The following is a 17,863-nucleotide window of genomic DNA, read 5'->3' on the forward strand; positions in this document are numbered from 1 at the left end:
AGTATGATTCCATCTTTGTTTGGCATAGGAAAATTTCTGGAAAGATATACCCAAGGTATCAGCCGTGGTTGCCTCTGGTGTGTAGGATTATGAATGTTCTTTCCCTCTTTCTGTTTGTTTGTACGTTCTGATTTTTAACTATGTTAAGCATGTTTCGCTTTTGTAATAAGAACAAAAAAGAAAAGCATAACAGAAAAGCATGACAATTTTTAAAAGAGAGAATTGCCTAGAAGCCATTAGGAAACAAAGGGAGTGGGAAAGGTAGCAGCGGCCTCCTCTCTGGAGCAGGCCTCTGAGCCATGCCCGAGCCCACGAGAGAGCATATGTCAATGCGCCTCTCACACTGCAAAGGGCCCTTCCTGCCAGAGGAGTTTGGAGGCCCCAGGAAGCCGACCCTGAGGCAGAGATTAGTGTGCAGGAAGTTTGTTAGGGGGCCCTTGGGATCAACAACTGTGGAAAGTGGGTGAGGAAGCAGGATTATGCAGAGGGAGTAACGTAAACTGCAACAAAGGTCACAGTCAATCCAAAGGGGAAGCTCTGGAGGTGAGAAAGCCCCACAGAGCTGCCCTGAGTTGAGGTGAGGGAGCCACCCTGGCAAGATGTGACATTGGACAAAGTAATCCCCAAAGAGGGCTAACAACAAAATGCCTTCTGGCAGCTCAGCCAACATTTAAGAGAATAAGTTGTTTATCCCTGAGGTGGAACCTTGGCGGCACATCACAGTGTCCACTATAAGAGGACTGTTTGGCAGAGGTGACCTCCATAAAGGCAAGCCAATAGGCAGATATGAGGGGAATTTGGGAAGAGGAAGAACTCATCTTTGAACTCAGAAGCCTGGCTTCATCTTCCACTCCGAGCTGTGATCTCCATTCCTGATTTGTCTCCTCAGGCAGTGACCTTTGAAGCAGCGATAGGCCAATTTATGATTCTTTAATTGCCCTGGAATGCAGACAGGGTGGAATTATTATTGGCCTCATTTTGTTAATATAGAAAGCTAAGTTCAGAGGGAACACACAGCGAGGTCGTGATGAGGCAGAGTCTCAAAGCCAGGTCTGTCCAACTCCATGTCCCAACTTCTTTCCCTGTTAACACAGCTGCCCAAATTTTCAAGCAATTTGGGTTGTGGTCAGATGGACAAATCCGTTCCTCCTCGTTAACACTGAACCAGTTTGTTCTCCATGTCCGGCAATCAATTTTCAGATGAGCTGGTCCCAATCCTGCAGATTACAAAGTCAAATTTGACTCAGTTGATGCAACCTAAAGGGCCCCTTACTGTCCTGAAAAGCTGCTGTCTTTGGAGGAAGGTAGAGCTGCCTCCCACCAAGAACAATCCTGAACCTCCCGAAGTTTGGTGGGGGCGGGGGGGGGGTGCGGGGGGCGTGAGAGGCTGCAGGGAGACTGACTGAGTTAATCCTGAGTTAATCTTATTAACCTATGAGATCAATTGGCTACAGGCGCCAGGCAAGTGACAGCACAGGCATTAATTCAGCAGCGGCCAGGGCAGCCTGACAGCCAGGAACTGATTTATCAGGGCTTTTAATGGATGGGATTGCATTTAGCTAATTGAGTCTGGGGCTGGCACGGATAAGACAACCCCCTTGTGATATGCAACTGCTCAGTGGATGTCCTGCCATTGTGGGGGGAAGGGTGACAGAAGGAAATAAGAAAGCACATGACAAGGAATGCTCCCTTCCTGGCCACTGTAAGGGCTGGTGTTGGGTTCCAGGTATCTCTAACATGTGAGCCACTAGTGTAGTGTAGGGCAGTGATTCTCAAAATATGATCTTTGCACCAGCAGTATCCCTTGGGAACTTGTTAGAAATGTAAATTCCTGGGCCTTCCCCAGGACATTCAAACTCCTAGACAGTTTGAATGTCTAGGAGTGGGGCCCAGCAATTCGTGTTTTATCAGGCTGTCCAAAGAATTCTGATGCACACACTCAAGCTTGAGACCCCCTAGAGGAGTTATGAGTGCAAACTCTAGTACCAGGCAGCCTGGGTTATAGTAACTGTGATGTCGGACAAGCCATCTAACCTCTCAGTGTCTCAATTTCTTCATCTGTAAAATGAGGGAAATAATAGTACCTGCTTCATAGGGCTGTCATGAAGATTAAATTTGTCAAGTGCCTAGAGCAATGCCTGTAGTAAGGGCTATATATATATAAATGTTAACAACTGTTATCGTTGGAAATAATGGAGCCTGGGACTTCTGTCTGCTCCCTTAGTATGACAGTAATTCTAACTGGATCATAAAGTTTCCTGTGATTTGATAAGTAAAAAAATATGGCACAAAATTTTATCTTCACTGCGATTGTACTTATGTAAAAATACTTATGCACATAAACAAGGTGAAATTATGGATGGTTTCTTTCTCTAATCACAAACCTTTGAAATGTGGTTAAATATAATAGATCTTTGAGATCCAAATATTAAATAAATTCAGATGGACAAGAAAAACATATTGAATCACAAGATAAGCAATGGACAGAGTTGAAGTAGAGGCTACTATAGAGGACTCATGATAAAGGACTGCGTGCGTGGGTCCCCACTCCACTCAGGGGCAGGGGCGTGGTTCTGGGCTCATCAGGTTACACTGGAGAAAATCAAGCTCAAGTTTCCTCAAGGTTAGAAGGGAGGAGACGTGAGCAAGAGTGTGGTCCACCTGAGGATGCTTAATAACAGTAGCAAGGATGGCTGGCCCCAGTGAGGACAGCTAGGGGGTGCTCATGGGGTCTCCCTCATCCTCAGGGAGGGAGAAAGAATCCAGCTAAGAACCAGGGTGGTCTTGGAAGCTGAGAAACTTGGCTAGCTGTTATGGGAAAGTCTGACTATTTTTTGAGAGTGCCAACTAAATCTCCATCTATAAAGGATAAGTACAACTAGTCAGTAGGTTTTTATCTCCATTTTGCCACCTACATATCTATAGGTACCAGGGTCTTACAGATTGGGCTGTGAAATCCTGGCATAGGGCCAGGAGAGCTGATTTCAAGATCAAGACCCAGGTCAGATGATTGGGGTGGGCATGTGGTGAGCTTGAAACTTCACATAGGCATGCTACTCTCAGCCCTATTTTCCCCTTTAAACTAGAACAAAGACACTCTAGTAAGAGTTTACTGAGGTCTGAGTATGGGGCTTGTCTCTATAGTATATATCTTTGCATCCCAGTAACCAGTTTACTTTTAAATGGTAGCATATCTGTTGATACATAGTCACTATAGGATCTAGTATGATGCACTAGAATTTCTGCAGTTTATCACAGCTGCCCTGATCACATTTTGTGGCCATTCTTTTGATGCTTGAGTATGATATTGTGGTATGTTTCTGACTTACCAAGGTTCTTTTCTGATAACAACTTTATTAAGACATAAAACATGTGCAAACCACACAATTCATCCATTTGAAGCATACAATTCACTGGGTTTTAATATATCCAGAGTTGCACAGCCATCACCACAATCCATTTTAGAACAATTTTTCATCCCAGAGAGAAACTCTACCCATTATCAGTCACTCCCCATTTCCCCTCAATCGCCTCCCCAGCCCTAGGCAACCACTAATCGACTTTGTGTCTTAATGGATCTGTCTATTCTGGACATGCCATAGGATCAAATCACTGACTATGTGGCCTTTTGTGACTGGCTTCTTTCACATAACATGATGTTTCAAGGTCCATCCATGTTATAGCATGCGTCAGTACTTCATTCCTTTCTGTGACTGGATAATTCCATTGTATGGATAGACCACATTTTTATTTATTTATTTATTTATTTATTTATTTATTTATTTATCCATTCACCAGTTGATGAACATTTTGACTGCTTCCACTTGTTGGGTATGGTGAATAATGCAGCTATGAACATTCATGTTCAAGTTTTTGTGTGGACATATGTTTCCAATTCTCTTGGGTACATGCCTAGGAGTGGAAGTGCTGGGCCAAATGGTAACTCTGTGTTTAACATTTTGAGGAACTGCCAGACTGTTTTCCAAAGTGGATGCATCACATTACATTCCCATCAGCAATGTATTAACACAAGGGTACCACTTCCTCCACATCCGCACCAACATTTGTTTGACTTTTTTATTATAGCCATCCTAGTGGGTGTGAAGTGGGATATCATTATGGTTTTTATTAGCATTTCCCTAATAACTAATGATGTCGAGCATCTTTTCATGTGCTTGTTGGCCATTTGTATATAGTACTATCTTTTGAGAAATGTCTGTTCAGATCCTTTGCCCATTTTTGATTTGGATTATTATTTGTCTTTCTCCTTTGATTTGTAAGATATTTTTATATGTTCGGACACAAGTCTCTTATCAAACATATGATGTGCAAATATTTTCTCTTATTTTGTAGGCTGCCTTTTCGCTTTTTTCTTGAGATAGAGTCTCTGTCACCCAGGCTGGAGTGCAGTGGGACCATCATGGCTCACCGTAGCCTCGAACTCTTGGGCTCAAGCAATCCTCTGCCTCAGCCTCCCAAGTAGCTGGTACTACAGGTGCACATCACCATGCCCAGTTAATTTTGTCTTCCTCTTGTAGAGACAGGGTCTTGCTATGTTGATCAGGCTGGTTTCAGATTCCTGGCCTCGAGTGATCCTCCCATGTCAGCCTCCCAAAGTGTTAGGATTACAGGCATGAGCCACCGTGCCTGGTTTCTTTACACTTTCTTGATGGCATTATTTGTGAACAAAAGTTTTTAATTTTGATGAAGTCAAATTTGTGTTTTTCTCTTATGTTATTTGTGCTACTAATGTCATATCTAAGAAACCACTGCCTAATCTAAGGCCTTAAAGATTTATACCTGTGTTTCCTTCTATGTTTTATAGTTTTAGCCATTACATGTGGGTCTTTGACCCATTTTGAGTTTAATTTTGTCTATATATGAGAATGAATTCCAACTTCATTCTTTGGCATTTGGATATTCAGTTGTCCCAGCGCCACTTACTGAAAAGATTATTCTTTTCAGCATTGAATGGAATTGGCACCCTTGTCAAAAATCCATCAGCCATATATGTATGGATTTATTTCAGGACTCTCAATTTCTTTCCACTATATGGATCTATATGTCTATCCTTATGTTAGCAACACACTATTTTGATTACTATAGCATTGTATAAAGTTTGACATTGGGAATTGTGAGTCCTCCAACTCTGTTCTTTTTAAAGATTGCTTTGACTGTTCTGGGTCCCCTTAATTTCCATATGGATTTTAGGATCAGGTGGTCAATTTCTACAAAGAAATTGGAATTTTGATAGGGATTGCATTGAATCTGTAGATCAATTTGAGGAATATTGCCATCTTAACAATATTAAGTATTTTGATCCATGAACATGTCTTTCCATTTGTTTCCACCTTTAATTTTGTATCATGTTTCATAGTTTTTAGCATACAAGTTTCACGCCATGTTTGTTAAATTTATTGTTATGTGTTTTATTCTTTTGATGATATTGTAAATGGAATTGTTTTCTTAATTTCATTGCAGGTTGTTCATTGCAAGTATACAGAAATATAATTTTTAAATTGATTTCATGGCCTTGCAACCATGTTGAACACAATTATTAGTTTTAATAGTTTTTTAGTGGATTCCTTAGGATTTTCTATGTACAAGATTATGTCATCTCTGCAAATATGGGTTACTTCTCCCTTCTAATCCATATGCCTTTTATTTCTCTTTCTTGTCTGACTGTTCTAGCTAGAACCTCCAGTATAATGTTGAACAGAAGTAGGGAAAGTGGATACCCTTGTCTTGTTCCTGATCTTAGGGGAAAAGCATCCAGTATTTCACCTTTAATTGTGATGCTGTTGTTGGTTTTTTATAGACGCCCTTTGTCAGGTGATGGAAGTTCCCTTCTATTCCTAGTTTGTTGAGGGTTTTTATCATGAAAGAGTGTTGGATTTTATCAAATCATTTTTAGTCTATCGATATGGTGTATTACATTAATTGATTTTCAGATGTTAAAACAATCTTGCATTCCTGGGATAAATCCCACTTGGTCATCGTGTATGATCCTTTTTATATGTTGTTGGATTTGGTTTGCTAATATTTTGTTGGGGATTTTTGCATCTATACTCATAAGAGATATTGGTCTGTAGTTTTTTCGTGATGTTTTTGTCAGTTTGGGTATCAGGGTAATACAGGCCTCATAGAATGAGTTGAGAAGTATTACCTCCTCTATATAGCTTGTGAAGAATGGGCATTAATTCTTCTTTAAATGTTTGGAAGAATTCACCAATGAAGTCATTTATGTCTGGGCTTTTCTTTGTCAGCAGTTTTGATTACTACTAATTCAACCTCTTTGCTTGTTATTTGTTTATTTGGGGTTTTGATTTCTTGTCCAGCCATCTTCAATAGTTTGTGTCTTTCTAGGAATTTAAGCATTTCATCTAAGTTGTCTAATTTAGTGTCATACAGTTGTTCATAGTATTCCTTTATAATCCCTTTTGTTTCTGTAAGGGTGATTATAATGTCCCCTCATTTACTTCTGATTTTTGTAATTGGGGTCTTCTCTCTTTGATTTTTGGTCAATCTAGCTAACCAAATTTCTTTTGAATTCCCGTTTGGCCCTCCGCCTCCTTCTGCCTATACTTGAGAGCCTTGGCCAACCTAAGAACATACATATATGTCTTTTACAGTCAAGAAAATGAGTCTTTTCTACACTCCTGCATGTGGAGCTCTCAGCCTGAACCTCCAAAGCATATTGTTATGTCTCCTCAGCTAACTGAGGCAGATTCATTCTGAACCAGCTTCTTTATTAGCCAGTGGCTATGGTGCATGAGGCTGTCAAAATTCTACCCTCTCACTGTGGAAATTAAGCTGCAGCCCTTTTAGTATATGGCCACCAGCCAAGTGTTGCTCATTTGTGACTAAATATGAGGGCCTGGGGAAGAGCAGAAGGCAGCAGGCCCTGGCCAGCCAGGACCCCCACGCAAGGCATTGTGGATACGCCTGGGGCCTGCTCTTCGTGAGTGCCACTCGCTTTGAGTCTTGAATGGGAACAGAGGCAAGTTAGAAAAGCAGAGGCCTACTGCTGTTTGGGCCATATGTCTCCTTGGTCACGGCACCCAGGACTGTGCTTCTCTATTTGGCAGGGACTCAGCTGACAGACGGTAAAGTCAGGAAGTCAGGAAAAAGAATTGGGGATTTTGGGCAAGTGCTAATTCTGGCTAGTGTTTTGGGGTCCCTGGCCCAGTTGGTCATCTTTCCCCTTCCCTCTGCAAGCCCTAAGCCTGGCTAGGGTGCTAGTGTGGAAACATTCATTAGTTCTGAAGATGTCTTAGAGCCACATGTCCACTTAAAGATTATTTCCAGACTAATGAAAAATCTGTGTGTGCAAGCAGGTCCCCATTTTAAAATGGAGCAAAGCCCACCAACATTTCCATGGTAAGGAAATGGCAACAAATCAACTCTTTGGGATGAGTATGTAGTGAGCTTGAAACTCAAACCAAGTGTGACCGCCTCAGCCCCACCCTGGGCTGCTGACTCAGGACCAAGAGGAAGAGGGAGCTGCCAGACTTCACAATTTCTGTAAACAGTTCTTGAAAAAGAAACCACACACTTGTCTTTCTGCCAGCCCCCAGCTTGTCCCCGTAGCTGACAGCGCTGCCATTGTCTTTTCTCTGACACCCTAGGGCAGGGCTTCTTAACTTGAGCTCCATGGACCTCCAAGGGGTGTGTGGAGAGAATTTAGAGGGTCTACAAACTTGGATGGGAAGATTAGTTGATCTTTTCTCCATGAACCTCAAACAACAATTTAGCATTTTCTCAAATTAGGAATGTAAGTGACAAACCACAGTAGTGTTAGCGGTATCTGTGACTTTATCACCAACAGAAATCACAAATATTTTCATATCACATTACTGTTGTTGTAAGTATCTCAAAAAATCATTTGTGTTCATCACCACTTCAACATTTCTAATCTATAGAATTGCCACTAAATCTTGTGATTTAGCGCATTATGAAAGTAGTAACACAACTAGATCACAAAATTTAAAAAATATTTTTCTAACCATTTCGGTATGATTGTTTGCCTTTGTGATTCTATGTATTTTATTTTATGCACGTGAAAACATTATTCTGAGAAGGAATCCGGAGGTTTCACCAAACTACCAAAAGCGTCCATTACCTAAAAAAAGACCAAGACCCTGCCCTGGATCTTGGAACTCTCCTGCTCCATGGGCCTCACTTCTGATCCACAGAACTTTGCCTATCTTACTGGAGGGGTCAAAAGCACTTGCATGTTAGTGCTGTGACACTGGTCAGGAGAAACTTTCTGTGCCTAGTTTCTTAATCTGCAAAAGGCAGAACAATAACACTACCTACCTTATAGGGTTGTGATGATTCAATGGGTTAAGAAATGTAAACCACTTAATGCCCAATACACGGTAAGCACTATTAGCTATTTTTGTTGTTATTGCTGGTTTATATCAATCATCTCATTAATATATGCTATTATTATCTCAATTTTCAGAAAAAGGAAACTGGGGCTTAGAAAAGTGAAATTACTAAGTCAAGGGAACACAGCAAGGGAGTGGCAGAGCCAGGGTTCAAAGCCAGGTCTATGTGACTCTCAAGCCCAGTGGAGGTCACTCTTTAGCACACTACTGAGAGGAGGTGATGTCCCTCAGAGAAATGGAAGCCATCAACAGGGTGCTCGCTGGGAAGGAGCAACTCTGCAAGTTCCTGCTTTGTCTCCCCTGCTTTCCCTACTGTCCACACCTCCAACCTTATCTGGGGGGCTCCTAGCTCCACGTGCATACCATCAGTCCTCAGTCAGGTCTCAGGGGGCCAGTCCTCTTTCCAAAGGCCATTGCCAATGCAGCCTTCATCTGCAAAGAGGACAAGTCCATGTTCTCCCACTGAACCACAGTCTTGCAGTAACAAATTCACTTTGGAGTCATGGACCAGCCTCTGCTCCCAAGTAGATCTCAAGCCTCACAGGCCAGTGGGGTCGGGGTTAGAGGGCCTGAGGGGAACTCAGAAGGGCAGGGGCTTGTCTGGGGAGTGGAGGCAGTTTCGCGGAGGAAGTGGTCTTGGAACTGAGGAGAACATTGCCAGTTGGAGTGAGGCCAGGAATGTTCATGAATTTTTAAGGGAAAGGGAATGGAGTGTGCAAAGGCCCAGAGGCATGCAAGGGCCTCGTATGTACAGAAAAGCAGGAAGTAATTCAAGATGTCTGAAATTTGGGCTAAGTAGAAGAGGAAAGAAGGATAGCATAGGCAGATGAGATGGCATAGATAATTAATGAGCAGATAGGGAAGAAAATGCCAAAAGCAGGTCTACAAGTCTTCCCACGAGGAAGGAGAGCCATTGAGGGGTTTTGTAGAGGAGCAGCAAGGCCAGGTGTGTGAATTCAAAGGCCCACGGCCCCCACCCCCAGGCATGTTGAAGGTGGACCTATTAGAACAGGTAGAGACTAGAGCCTGCTTCAGTAGCTCAGGTGAGAGAGGAGGAAGGGCTGAACTGTGGGTGGAGAGGTCATCAATTTGGGGACACTCTTTCTGGCAAGCCTCACAGCCAACAGGCCTCATCTGTATGATGCAAGAGGTGAAGGAGACCACAGTCGCTGGAGGCACCCGCCCTTCTCTAGCTTGGTCATGTGAGGAGATCCTACAAGGCAAGGCTTCCCCAGGCCGTGGGACCTTCGCCATGAGTTCACCTGCTGACATCTTCCCTTTTAGCCTCTTTCTCACCCGAACAGCCCACTGCAAGAGCAGAATAAAAAGCCTGGGCCCTACTTTCCCACACAAACACACCACCCCCACCCCCCATCAGGAGAGTTGCTGAGGCGAGGGGCCCCGCTCTACCCCATGTGTGGCAGGCAGGAAGGGGAGAGGGGACACAGGGAGCAGGTCAGGGCCTGCTCTCTGTCAAAGGAAATATCCACCCTCCTAAGCCTTTAAGAAACTGTTTTCTTCCAAGTAGGTCCCGCTGTTACCAGGGCAACCGAGAGCCCTGGTATTTGTGTTTCTGTCTTTGGAGTCCCTGGGGAGAAGTGGCCTGCCGAGCTTTCCCTAGTCTGGGCAGGATACAGGAAGTGCTGGCCGGAGGTGGAGCCCACTCCCCACCTCCCATTAAGGGGGTGGTCTCTTGCCTGATTAATGCCTGTCCTTATCCCCTGGAAGAGTCCACCCCCACCCTCAGGAGCCACTTCTGGCGGTCAAGGGCACAGGCTTTGGCTCCTATGGACCTGGTTTCTCGGGGGCAGAATTCTGCACCTACCTTGTGGCACATCTCTCTCAAATGGGTGTCACCTGCTGTCTGAGGCAGGTATCCAGGAGGGGCAAGCTCACATCAGACCATGGTACCTGCTGAGGGATCGTCACGCATGCTATGTTTCTTGATCACTTACTTTGTGCTAGAACTGGATCTGTGGGTCGGTTCTTGCTCCAGGGAGCTCTAGGGGAAGGCTCAGAACCAAACTGGCCATTAAATGTCACACGGGCTAGTTAGTTCCCAAAGCTCTATGCTGCTCTAGGCTGGGCTGTGTTGGATGTTAGAATTGCCTAGGGAGCTTTCTAGATGTAGACATTCCTGGAGATTTTGTTTCCAACGGCGTGGGTGCAGGTGGGGAGTAGAGGTTAAGAGCATGGGCTCTGGATGTCAAACTGCTGGGGTTCACAGTCAAACTCGGCAAACAGGGCAAGTGACCTCAAGCCACTTGCCTGATTGGTTTCCTCACTTACAGAATGAACGTGGGGAAGTCACAGCTGTTTCACAGGCAGCAAGATTTTCCTTGCCTTCCTCCATCGCTCAGCCCAGGAGAGGGTTTTTAGGACCCTCGCCATCCTTGTCACCCTTCTACTGTCTTCCTTCCTTCCTTCCTTCCTTTTATTCTGATGTTTTCTTACTCCTGGCAAGCCAAAGGGCTTCTGTGAGGTGCAACTTTGTCCCCTTCCACAGGGCAGCCAGGGCCCCAGGTGGGCCCTGCCCATCTCAAGGATTTCACATTGCTATTGCAGCAGCCCAGGAAAGCATTGGCGCATCTGACAGCCAGGTCAGTCTGTGATTCTGACCGATCTCCTGTCAATTCACATCCTCAGATTTTCATTTTCACAAGCTTCTTCTAAGCCACATCTCCCCCACTTAGGCTTCTGCAGTTGCTTTTCTGAACCTGACTGCAGGATCTCAGATGAGCCCCTAGTAAAGGTCATTTCAGTGCATCCTTCCAGGTTAGGGAGAGTTTTTTGGCCCCTCATTCCCTTTTAGAGGACATTAGAGGACATCTTCTAGTCCTCCAAGCTTTGTACCACCTGCAGATGCCCTTAGCAGGCTGCCTCTAGGTCTCCATCCAGTGGCCCATTTATTCACTCACTTCTTCATTTATGTACCAAACTAGGATTGAGATTCTACTGTGTACCAAGTAGTGTGCTGGGCCCCAGGGACTCAACAGTGACTAGACAGATCAAGAAGCCATGGCCCGAGAGGGGATGAGACTCATGCCAGAGCCCATATAGAGTCAGCAGCAAGGCTGGACTGGAATCCAGGGTTCTTTTCCCCATTCCCACAGTGCTTCCTGCTTCAGGGTTGGGGCAAGGCTGACTCTGTTTGTCTTTTTTTCCACCTTCTCTGGCCATAACACAATCTGGGCTCACCTATCACTACTTGTGATGTCATAAGAAATCCCCTGGGTGCTGGAGACCTTGTCAGGCACCCTGAAGAGTACTGGGGAGTCCTAGTGCTCACTGATGAAGCCCACGACCCCATAACCCTGTTCCTCCCTAGAAGGGGCAGTCAACCACATACTTAGAACTGCCACCTGGCTGGTTCCCCCAGAGCTTCCAGAGATGGTGCACCTGATGCGTGCTTCGTTGCTTTGGCAAAGACCCAGAATCCAGGCAGGTTGAGACTTCAAGCTTGTCAGGAGTCTCTCCTGGGAGATAGCAAGCACGGTGTATTTGAGTTAAGAATGTATATGGGTTTGGGAGTCACGAAGACCTGGAGTCCCCCATATGACCTAATATCTCTGAGATTCAGGTCCCTCAGCTCTAAAAGGAGACAGCATCACCTGCCTCACTTAATTGTGGAGATGAAATGATGTTGGCGAAAGTCCCTGGCACATGGTCAGAAATACCATGGTTTCCTCCCTCCCTCCCTTCCTCTTAAAGGGACAAAGCAAATGTGCCTCTGAAACCAGGGTTTGTTTCCCCCACGGGAATCCTGCAAGCTGGAGGCAGGGGGGGTAGGACAGGGCAGAACTAGGAGACCAGCCTGGCCTGTTAGACAGCAGGGCCAGCGGAGTGGGGGCAGAGAGGTGCTAAGTGTCCCCAGAGCTAATGGGCAGCTGCAGGGCTGTGACAGAGCCACTCACTAGCTGTCAACCTTGGGCCAGTGACTTCTCTCTAAGCCTCAGTGTCCTCATCTTTAAGATGAGGGTAAGGGTAGTTAGTTCTTTCCCCCCAGGATATCATTATCAGAATGAAATAAGATAACAGATGTGAAGTGCCTGGCACAGCACTCAAAAGCAGCAGAGGCTTAATGAATGTTCCCACCCACTTCCCCTGGAAAAAAAAAAAAGTCCAATTCATGCTGGGAAACTTGGGCAAATCCCAGAATGGGATTCAGTTTCTTCTGACCCCACAGTCCGTGAGGAGCCATGAGATCTTGCTTGGAGGGCCTCTTACATGGACTGCTCTGGGGACTTGTGATTCATCACCAGCTAACTCACTGGTATCCCATAGCGCCACCTAGTGCCAAAAAGCGGAAGGGCCCTCCCCAGCCAACCTGGCCTCTTTCTCTTCCTTCACTCAAAGTCCCATGCATGCCCGTGCGTGCCTGTAGGGCTGGGCCACCCATAGTCCCCGGGAGAACGAATGCTATTTTTCAAGATGCCCAGTGCTTCCACTTCCCTCCCAACAATTTCTTCCATCCACAAATGCACAGAACTGTAGACAGGTCCCTTGAGCCTCACCGGCCCTTGGTTTCCTTGTCTAAGGATTTCAAGACTTCAGGGTAGGGTTGACTCCGGCAGGGGACCTTGGAAGTACCCTATGCCTACTCTGTACCCATCTATGCTTGCTCAATAACAAAGAGGCACAATCTTTACACACCCTTTATATTTTTATTGAGGAGAGAAAGCTTTAGCATACAGAGCAGCTTCTTATCTTCACAACACAGTAATGCAACAATAACACATGTATTCCAAAAGGGTTTCCTCCCGAGCCTCTGGGAGACCTTGGGCTGCCTTCATACCCCTGCATGCATCCCCTCCCCCCACCCCTCTTTCAACCCAAGAAAGCTCCCAAAGCCCACAGTTCCTCTTACAGCTCTTATGGCTGTTACATCACAACAAATATTGAAGATCTGGGAAAGGAAGGAAGAGGGTCAAAGGGAAGCCCAAGCCCCTCCTGCCCCAGAGGGTGGAAACCAGCTCACTGCTCATCTGCTCTATCCCTGGCTGTAGCTCTGAGGGTTCAGGGTGAGAAGCACCATGGGAACAGGCAGGACCTGTGCTGAAGGGTCCCTGGAAGTGTGGGTTTAAGGCACCCGTCCTTCACACTTCTCCACAGGGACATGGGGCAGCAGGGCCAGAGTGTTGACCATCAGCAAACAGGGTCCACTGCCTCGAAGAATAGCAGGTCCCCTCGAAGAATAGCAGGTCCCCTTCTGGAATGCACTCTTGAGGAAATCAGATAAAATCAGCTGAAAAACAGACAAAATTTTCTTTACAAAGTTGTTTACTCCTGCCCTGGTGGGGATGGGGAAAACCAGACAATTGAAAGGTCCAACAAATTAGGAGAATGCTTAAATGAATTATTCAGTATGCATGACTGCACAGGTGGCAGCCATTTTAAATCCTGCTGATCAAGAACTGGCAGGGTGATCTCAGCTTTGACAAGACATAGCAAGAACACACTAGAAAGGAAAGCAGCAAAGTGTTAATAGTGCTTGCCTCTGTGTGGTGGGACTCTGAATGGCTGGGGGGTTTTTGTCCTCATAGTTTTCTCTATTTTCCAAACTTTCTTTAATGATTATGTATTACTTTTCTCTTTGGAGAGAGGGGATCTTTTTAAAAGGTAGCAACAGGTTATAGGAATCCAAATCCACTGATCCCCAGGCTGAGAAACAAAAGCGCTAATGAAAAGGGCATCTTACCTCCCACTGATGAATAGAGACCTCACCAGAAACCAGTCAGAGGACTGGGTTTCTCTGCGACTCCTCTTCCTCCAGCTTTTTTCTCTTGCCTCCAGGCCCAAGATCCTAAGGTCCGCCTGAGATTATCGGTCAGACTCCCATGAGGAACAGAGGTTGAATTTACTATGCTTTCTTCCCTTTGGCCACAAACCCTGGCTGCACTTGCTCTGCTGCCAGTCACTGTGCAGAAAGTCCAGTGTCCAGGGGCAGTTCAGGCCAGCAGTGGATTTGGCTGGCATTTTATGGCCAAAACTGACATAGTAAGTGTGTGTTTTTCACTGCAGAAGCAGTGCTTTCTGGACTCAAGGCAAGCAGTGGGTCTCTTTATAAGGGCACCTGAGTTTGTACCTAGAAGTCCCAGGAGTTCCTAGGAGGCAGCCACCCTCTTAAGCTTTACTGTGTCACTGAAGCACAGCAGCAGGCCAGGGGTTGGCCCCCATGAGGGGTCCCAGCTGTGAGGCCACGGTAGGTGCAGCCTTCCTCTCTCCTCTCAGAACTAAGGGTTCCTTGAAATTGAAGGGAGCTCAGAGCAGGCCATGGGCCCTCTCTCTGTCTGTCCCAGAAGGAATGGCCAATCAGGCCTCCTCTGCAACTCCAAGGATAGAAAGTGTCCTGCAAAGACCTTTGACTGGGGGCTGCAGTCCAAGGCCTGGCAAGGGGAGAAGACCACCATCCCTAAGGAAAGAGTCACTCTTTACAATGGCAGAATGATCGTTGCTGCTTCTTTCTCCTCCTCCTCTTCTTCCTCCTTCTCCTCTCCGGAACCCTAACTGGCTACCCTTTAGGCAACATCAAGGAAAGTTGTGGAGCCTGCAATGTTGGGCGCTGTCCACCGGGGGTGCCCAGGAGGGCAATGTGGTGAGAGGAAAGGGCTCCAGATGTGTGGCAAGTCAGTCCAAGAGCCCTGATACAGGAATCTGTGCAAAGGTAAACTCAAGTGCTGTAAGTGGAACCAGCCTGCACAGTCAGTCAAGGGCAAATCTCCGTCAAGTTGTCCATTTGACATGTGGCTTTGCACACTCTCACTGGGCTAGATGTCGGGTCCTCTTCCAGGCCCTCTGCTGGAGGTGTGGCATGAAATGAGTGTAGGATTCTAGGGACATTTCTGGATACCATCCTGCTCACCATCGATTATATCTAGCAACTGGCCTCAGTGGCTTTAGGAGTTCAGGGTAGCCTGTCCTCTTGCTCATTGGGGCAGATCAGTGAGGCATTGGGTGAAGTCCTGGTGGGTCAGTCAGAGAATAAAACTGTAGAACATAGGGTGAAGAAACGCAGGAGAGGTGAGGGTTAGGAACAACCAGAGGGGAAATACAAGAGGGTGACCAGTTCATTTATGGGAACAGGCCCAGAAACTTGCTCTCCAGCTCGTGGCCGGACTGAGCAGAGTACATGCCAAGAGGGCAGCTATTGCTGATCCCTCCTTTCCCAGGTGGCCCTGGTTGGGCACACGTCGCTCTCTGGTCACGGTTGCAAGATGGTCTGGAATTCTGCAGGTCTTCTTCAGGTTCTGCAGGTCTGAAACTCCCTGAAGTCCTGGTCAGCAAATGGGGCAGGTATGGCAGCAATAGCAGGGGCGGGGGATGCAAAAGAAGGGTGTGTTCTGGGTGGCCATCTGGCCCCAGCACTCAAACTCGAATTCGGCCACGAGCAGCTCGGTGGCCCCCCTGTCTCGGAGTGAGGCGGAAAAGCACAGGGGGGCGTCTTCGAACTTGGCGTTGTCCTAAACGACCTGTGCGGCGAATCAGTTGGGGGGAGCTGTAGAATGGTGAATTGGTGCCTGGAAGGCCTTCCAGAAGTGGGACTCGATTCTGGTTCCTCCGTCTGCTAGGCTGTATTATGGGAGGTGATGCACCCAGGAAGTTTTCGGCGTGGTAACCACTTGTGGGGCCAGAAGTCTGGGATGACGCGTGAACAAAGGTCGGCTCCATCTCCATCAGCTCATCTAGGTCATCATCTTGGGCCTCATCCAGTGGCTCCTCCTCCACCTCACCATAGGTCTCCTCAGTCCCTGGATCCTGCTGTGGCTCTCCTTCTGGTTTCTGGCCCCCATCCTCATCTTCATCTTCTTCATCCTTACTCTCTCCTTCCTCCTCATTCTTGTTCCTTATCTCCTCCTCCTCCTCTTTCTGTTTCATTTCCTCTTCCTCCTCCTCCTCCTTCTCTTCCTTCTTCTTCATTTCTTCCTCCTTCTTCATCTCCTCCTCCTCCTTCTCCTTCATCTCTTGCTGAAAAGCCCTCATGCGCTTCCTCTGGTCCTTGGAGTGAAGCCTGTGCCTGCGTGCCTCTTGGTCTTCATCTTCACTGTAGTACTCTTCATCTTCACTTTCTTCCTCATTGGGACTCGGAGCAAAAGGGAAGATGATATTTCGAACTCCAGGGAGCGGGATAGGCTTGGGAACGCGCACTTTTCTTTCTATCTCCACACATTCGAGAATCAGCTCATCCAGGTCGGCCATTTCTGTTGACCATAAGAGCTCTTTGCGGAAGAATTCCGACAGGCCTTTGAGGAATTGGTTTTGGAGGCGGCAGTCATCCCAAGACAAGAATTGGGCCAGGAACTGAAAAGCATCTGCATAGCTGCCGAGGGTACAGTGGCCCTGCTTGAGCTTGCGAATGGCCTTTTTAGCCACACGTGGGGGGATGGGGCCACAGAATTCCTTACGGATTTCATCCAGGAAGCGCGGGAAGTTGGCATGCAAGGGGCTTCCTTCCTGGGTGACCGAGATGGCCCAGTCCTTGGCTTCGCCAGTGAAAAAGGAGATCAGAAAGGCCACCCGCTCGGCGCCCCCGGGGAAATGAACCTCATGGTCGGCTATGAAGGTCTCTAGCTGCATCAGGAATTCAGCCAGGTAGACTGGGTCTCCTGAAAAGGGCTCTATCTCAGGCCGCTCCAGCGGTGCCAGAGGGGGTTGCGGGGGCGGTTCCTTTGACGCGGGCGGAGGCAGCGCCGGCGGGGGCGGGATGGGCAGCAGAGGGGGGTCAGCGGGCCCGTCGGGGGTGCTGCGATCCTGGATCACGTTAATCAAAAGATCATCCGAGATACAGTCGGGCTCCGCGCGTGGGGGAGGCCGGCACAAGAAGGGCAGTTCTCCCCCGGGAATGACTTCGATCTCACTGAGCGCGAACTCCAAGTTCTCCTCCGCAAGGACGGGCACTATGGGTACTGGCCAGCGGATGTAGCTGGAGACATTGCCCCGCAAGGAATTAACCTCGGCCAGGGCTCTCCCGAGCTGGAGGCCCAAATTGGCATTCTCCCCGCGAAGGGCATTTAATTCTTCGCGCAGGGCCACATTCGCCATGCGGAGGCTGTTGAGATTTCCTGACGCCTCAGACATCTCGACAAGCCCAGGGGCCCTGGGGCTCCGTGGTGGGGAAAGGGGAACTGGAACTACGGGCGGCCGGAGGAGGCCGAAATGCGGCGGCGGGGCTCGGGAGGGACCGAAGTGCGGCAGCGGGGCACGGGCCAGGCCGGGCCACACCCACCGGGGCGAGCTCGGAGGGCGGCGCTCTGGGCGGAGGGCCCGGCGGCTCGGCCCAGGGCGCGTTACCTCGTCGCCGGGGCCGGAGAGGGCGGGCGGAGGCACGGGGCCCGGAGGCGCCAGGCGGAGGATGCGGGCGACACGGTGGCGGCGGCGACCGCGCGACCGGGCGGGCGGGCGGGCAGGGGCGAGCGGAGCGGGAGGGAGCGGACTGCGGCAGGATCTGTCGAGGAAAAATCTTGCGGCCGGCG

General features: G+C 47.8%; 2 protein-coding genes across 14 annotated transcripts in view, besides 1 other annotated feature; one reads left to right on the top strand and one right to left on the bottom strand.

The window, feature by feature from the left end:
* The window catches only part of NHSL2 (NHS like 2), a 242,442-nt gene that overhangs the window by 203,228 nt on the left and 21,351 nt on the right, over window positions 1–17,863 (top strand). The gene's annotated exons all lie outside the window — the stretch shown is intronic.
* Window positions 13,038–17,843, bottom strand: RTL5 (retrotransposon Gag like 5). 2 transcript variants are annotated; one of them, NM_001024455.4, is made up of 2 exons: window positions 14,092–17,843; window positions 13,038–13,638 (listed from the first exon to the last, which is right to left on the bottom strand). In NM_001024455.4, exon 1 carries the CDS (start codon window positions 17,466–17,468, stop codon window positions 15,759–15,761), a length of 1,710 nt encoding a protein of 569 aa, NP_001019626.1. In that variant the 5' UTR covers window positions 17,469–17,843; the 3' UTR covers window positions 13,038–13,638; window positions 14,092–15,758. The 2 variants fall into 2 exon arrangements, with proteins under 2 accessions (NP_001019626.1, NP_001392080.1); NM_001405151.1 differs by having other exon boundaries at window positions 13,038–17,843.
* Window positions 17,634–17,703: a silencer, noted in NCBI's record as "silent region_20902". NCBI's record gives its function as "represses an Ori minimal core promoter by ATAC-STARR-seq in GM12878 lymphoblastoid cells {active_cell/tissue: GM12878}" and the evidence as "EXISTENCE:reporter gene assay evidence [ECO:0000049][PMID:35858748]".

This window comes from Homo sapiens, chromosome X, assembly GCF_000001405.40.
Source record: "Homo sapiens chromosome X, GRCh38.p14 Primary Assembly".
Taxonomy (NCBI): Eukaryota; Metazoa; Chordata; class Mammalia; order Primates; family Hominidae; genus Homo; species Homo sapiens.

Coding starts and splice junctions, on each gene's coding strand:
- RTL5 (NM_001024455.4), bottom strand. CDS start 17,468: ATGTCTGAGGCGTCAGGAAATCTCAACAGCCTCCGCATGGCGAATGTG.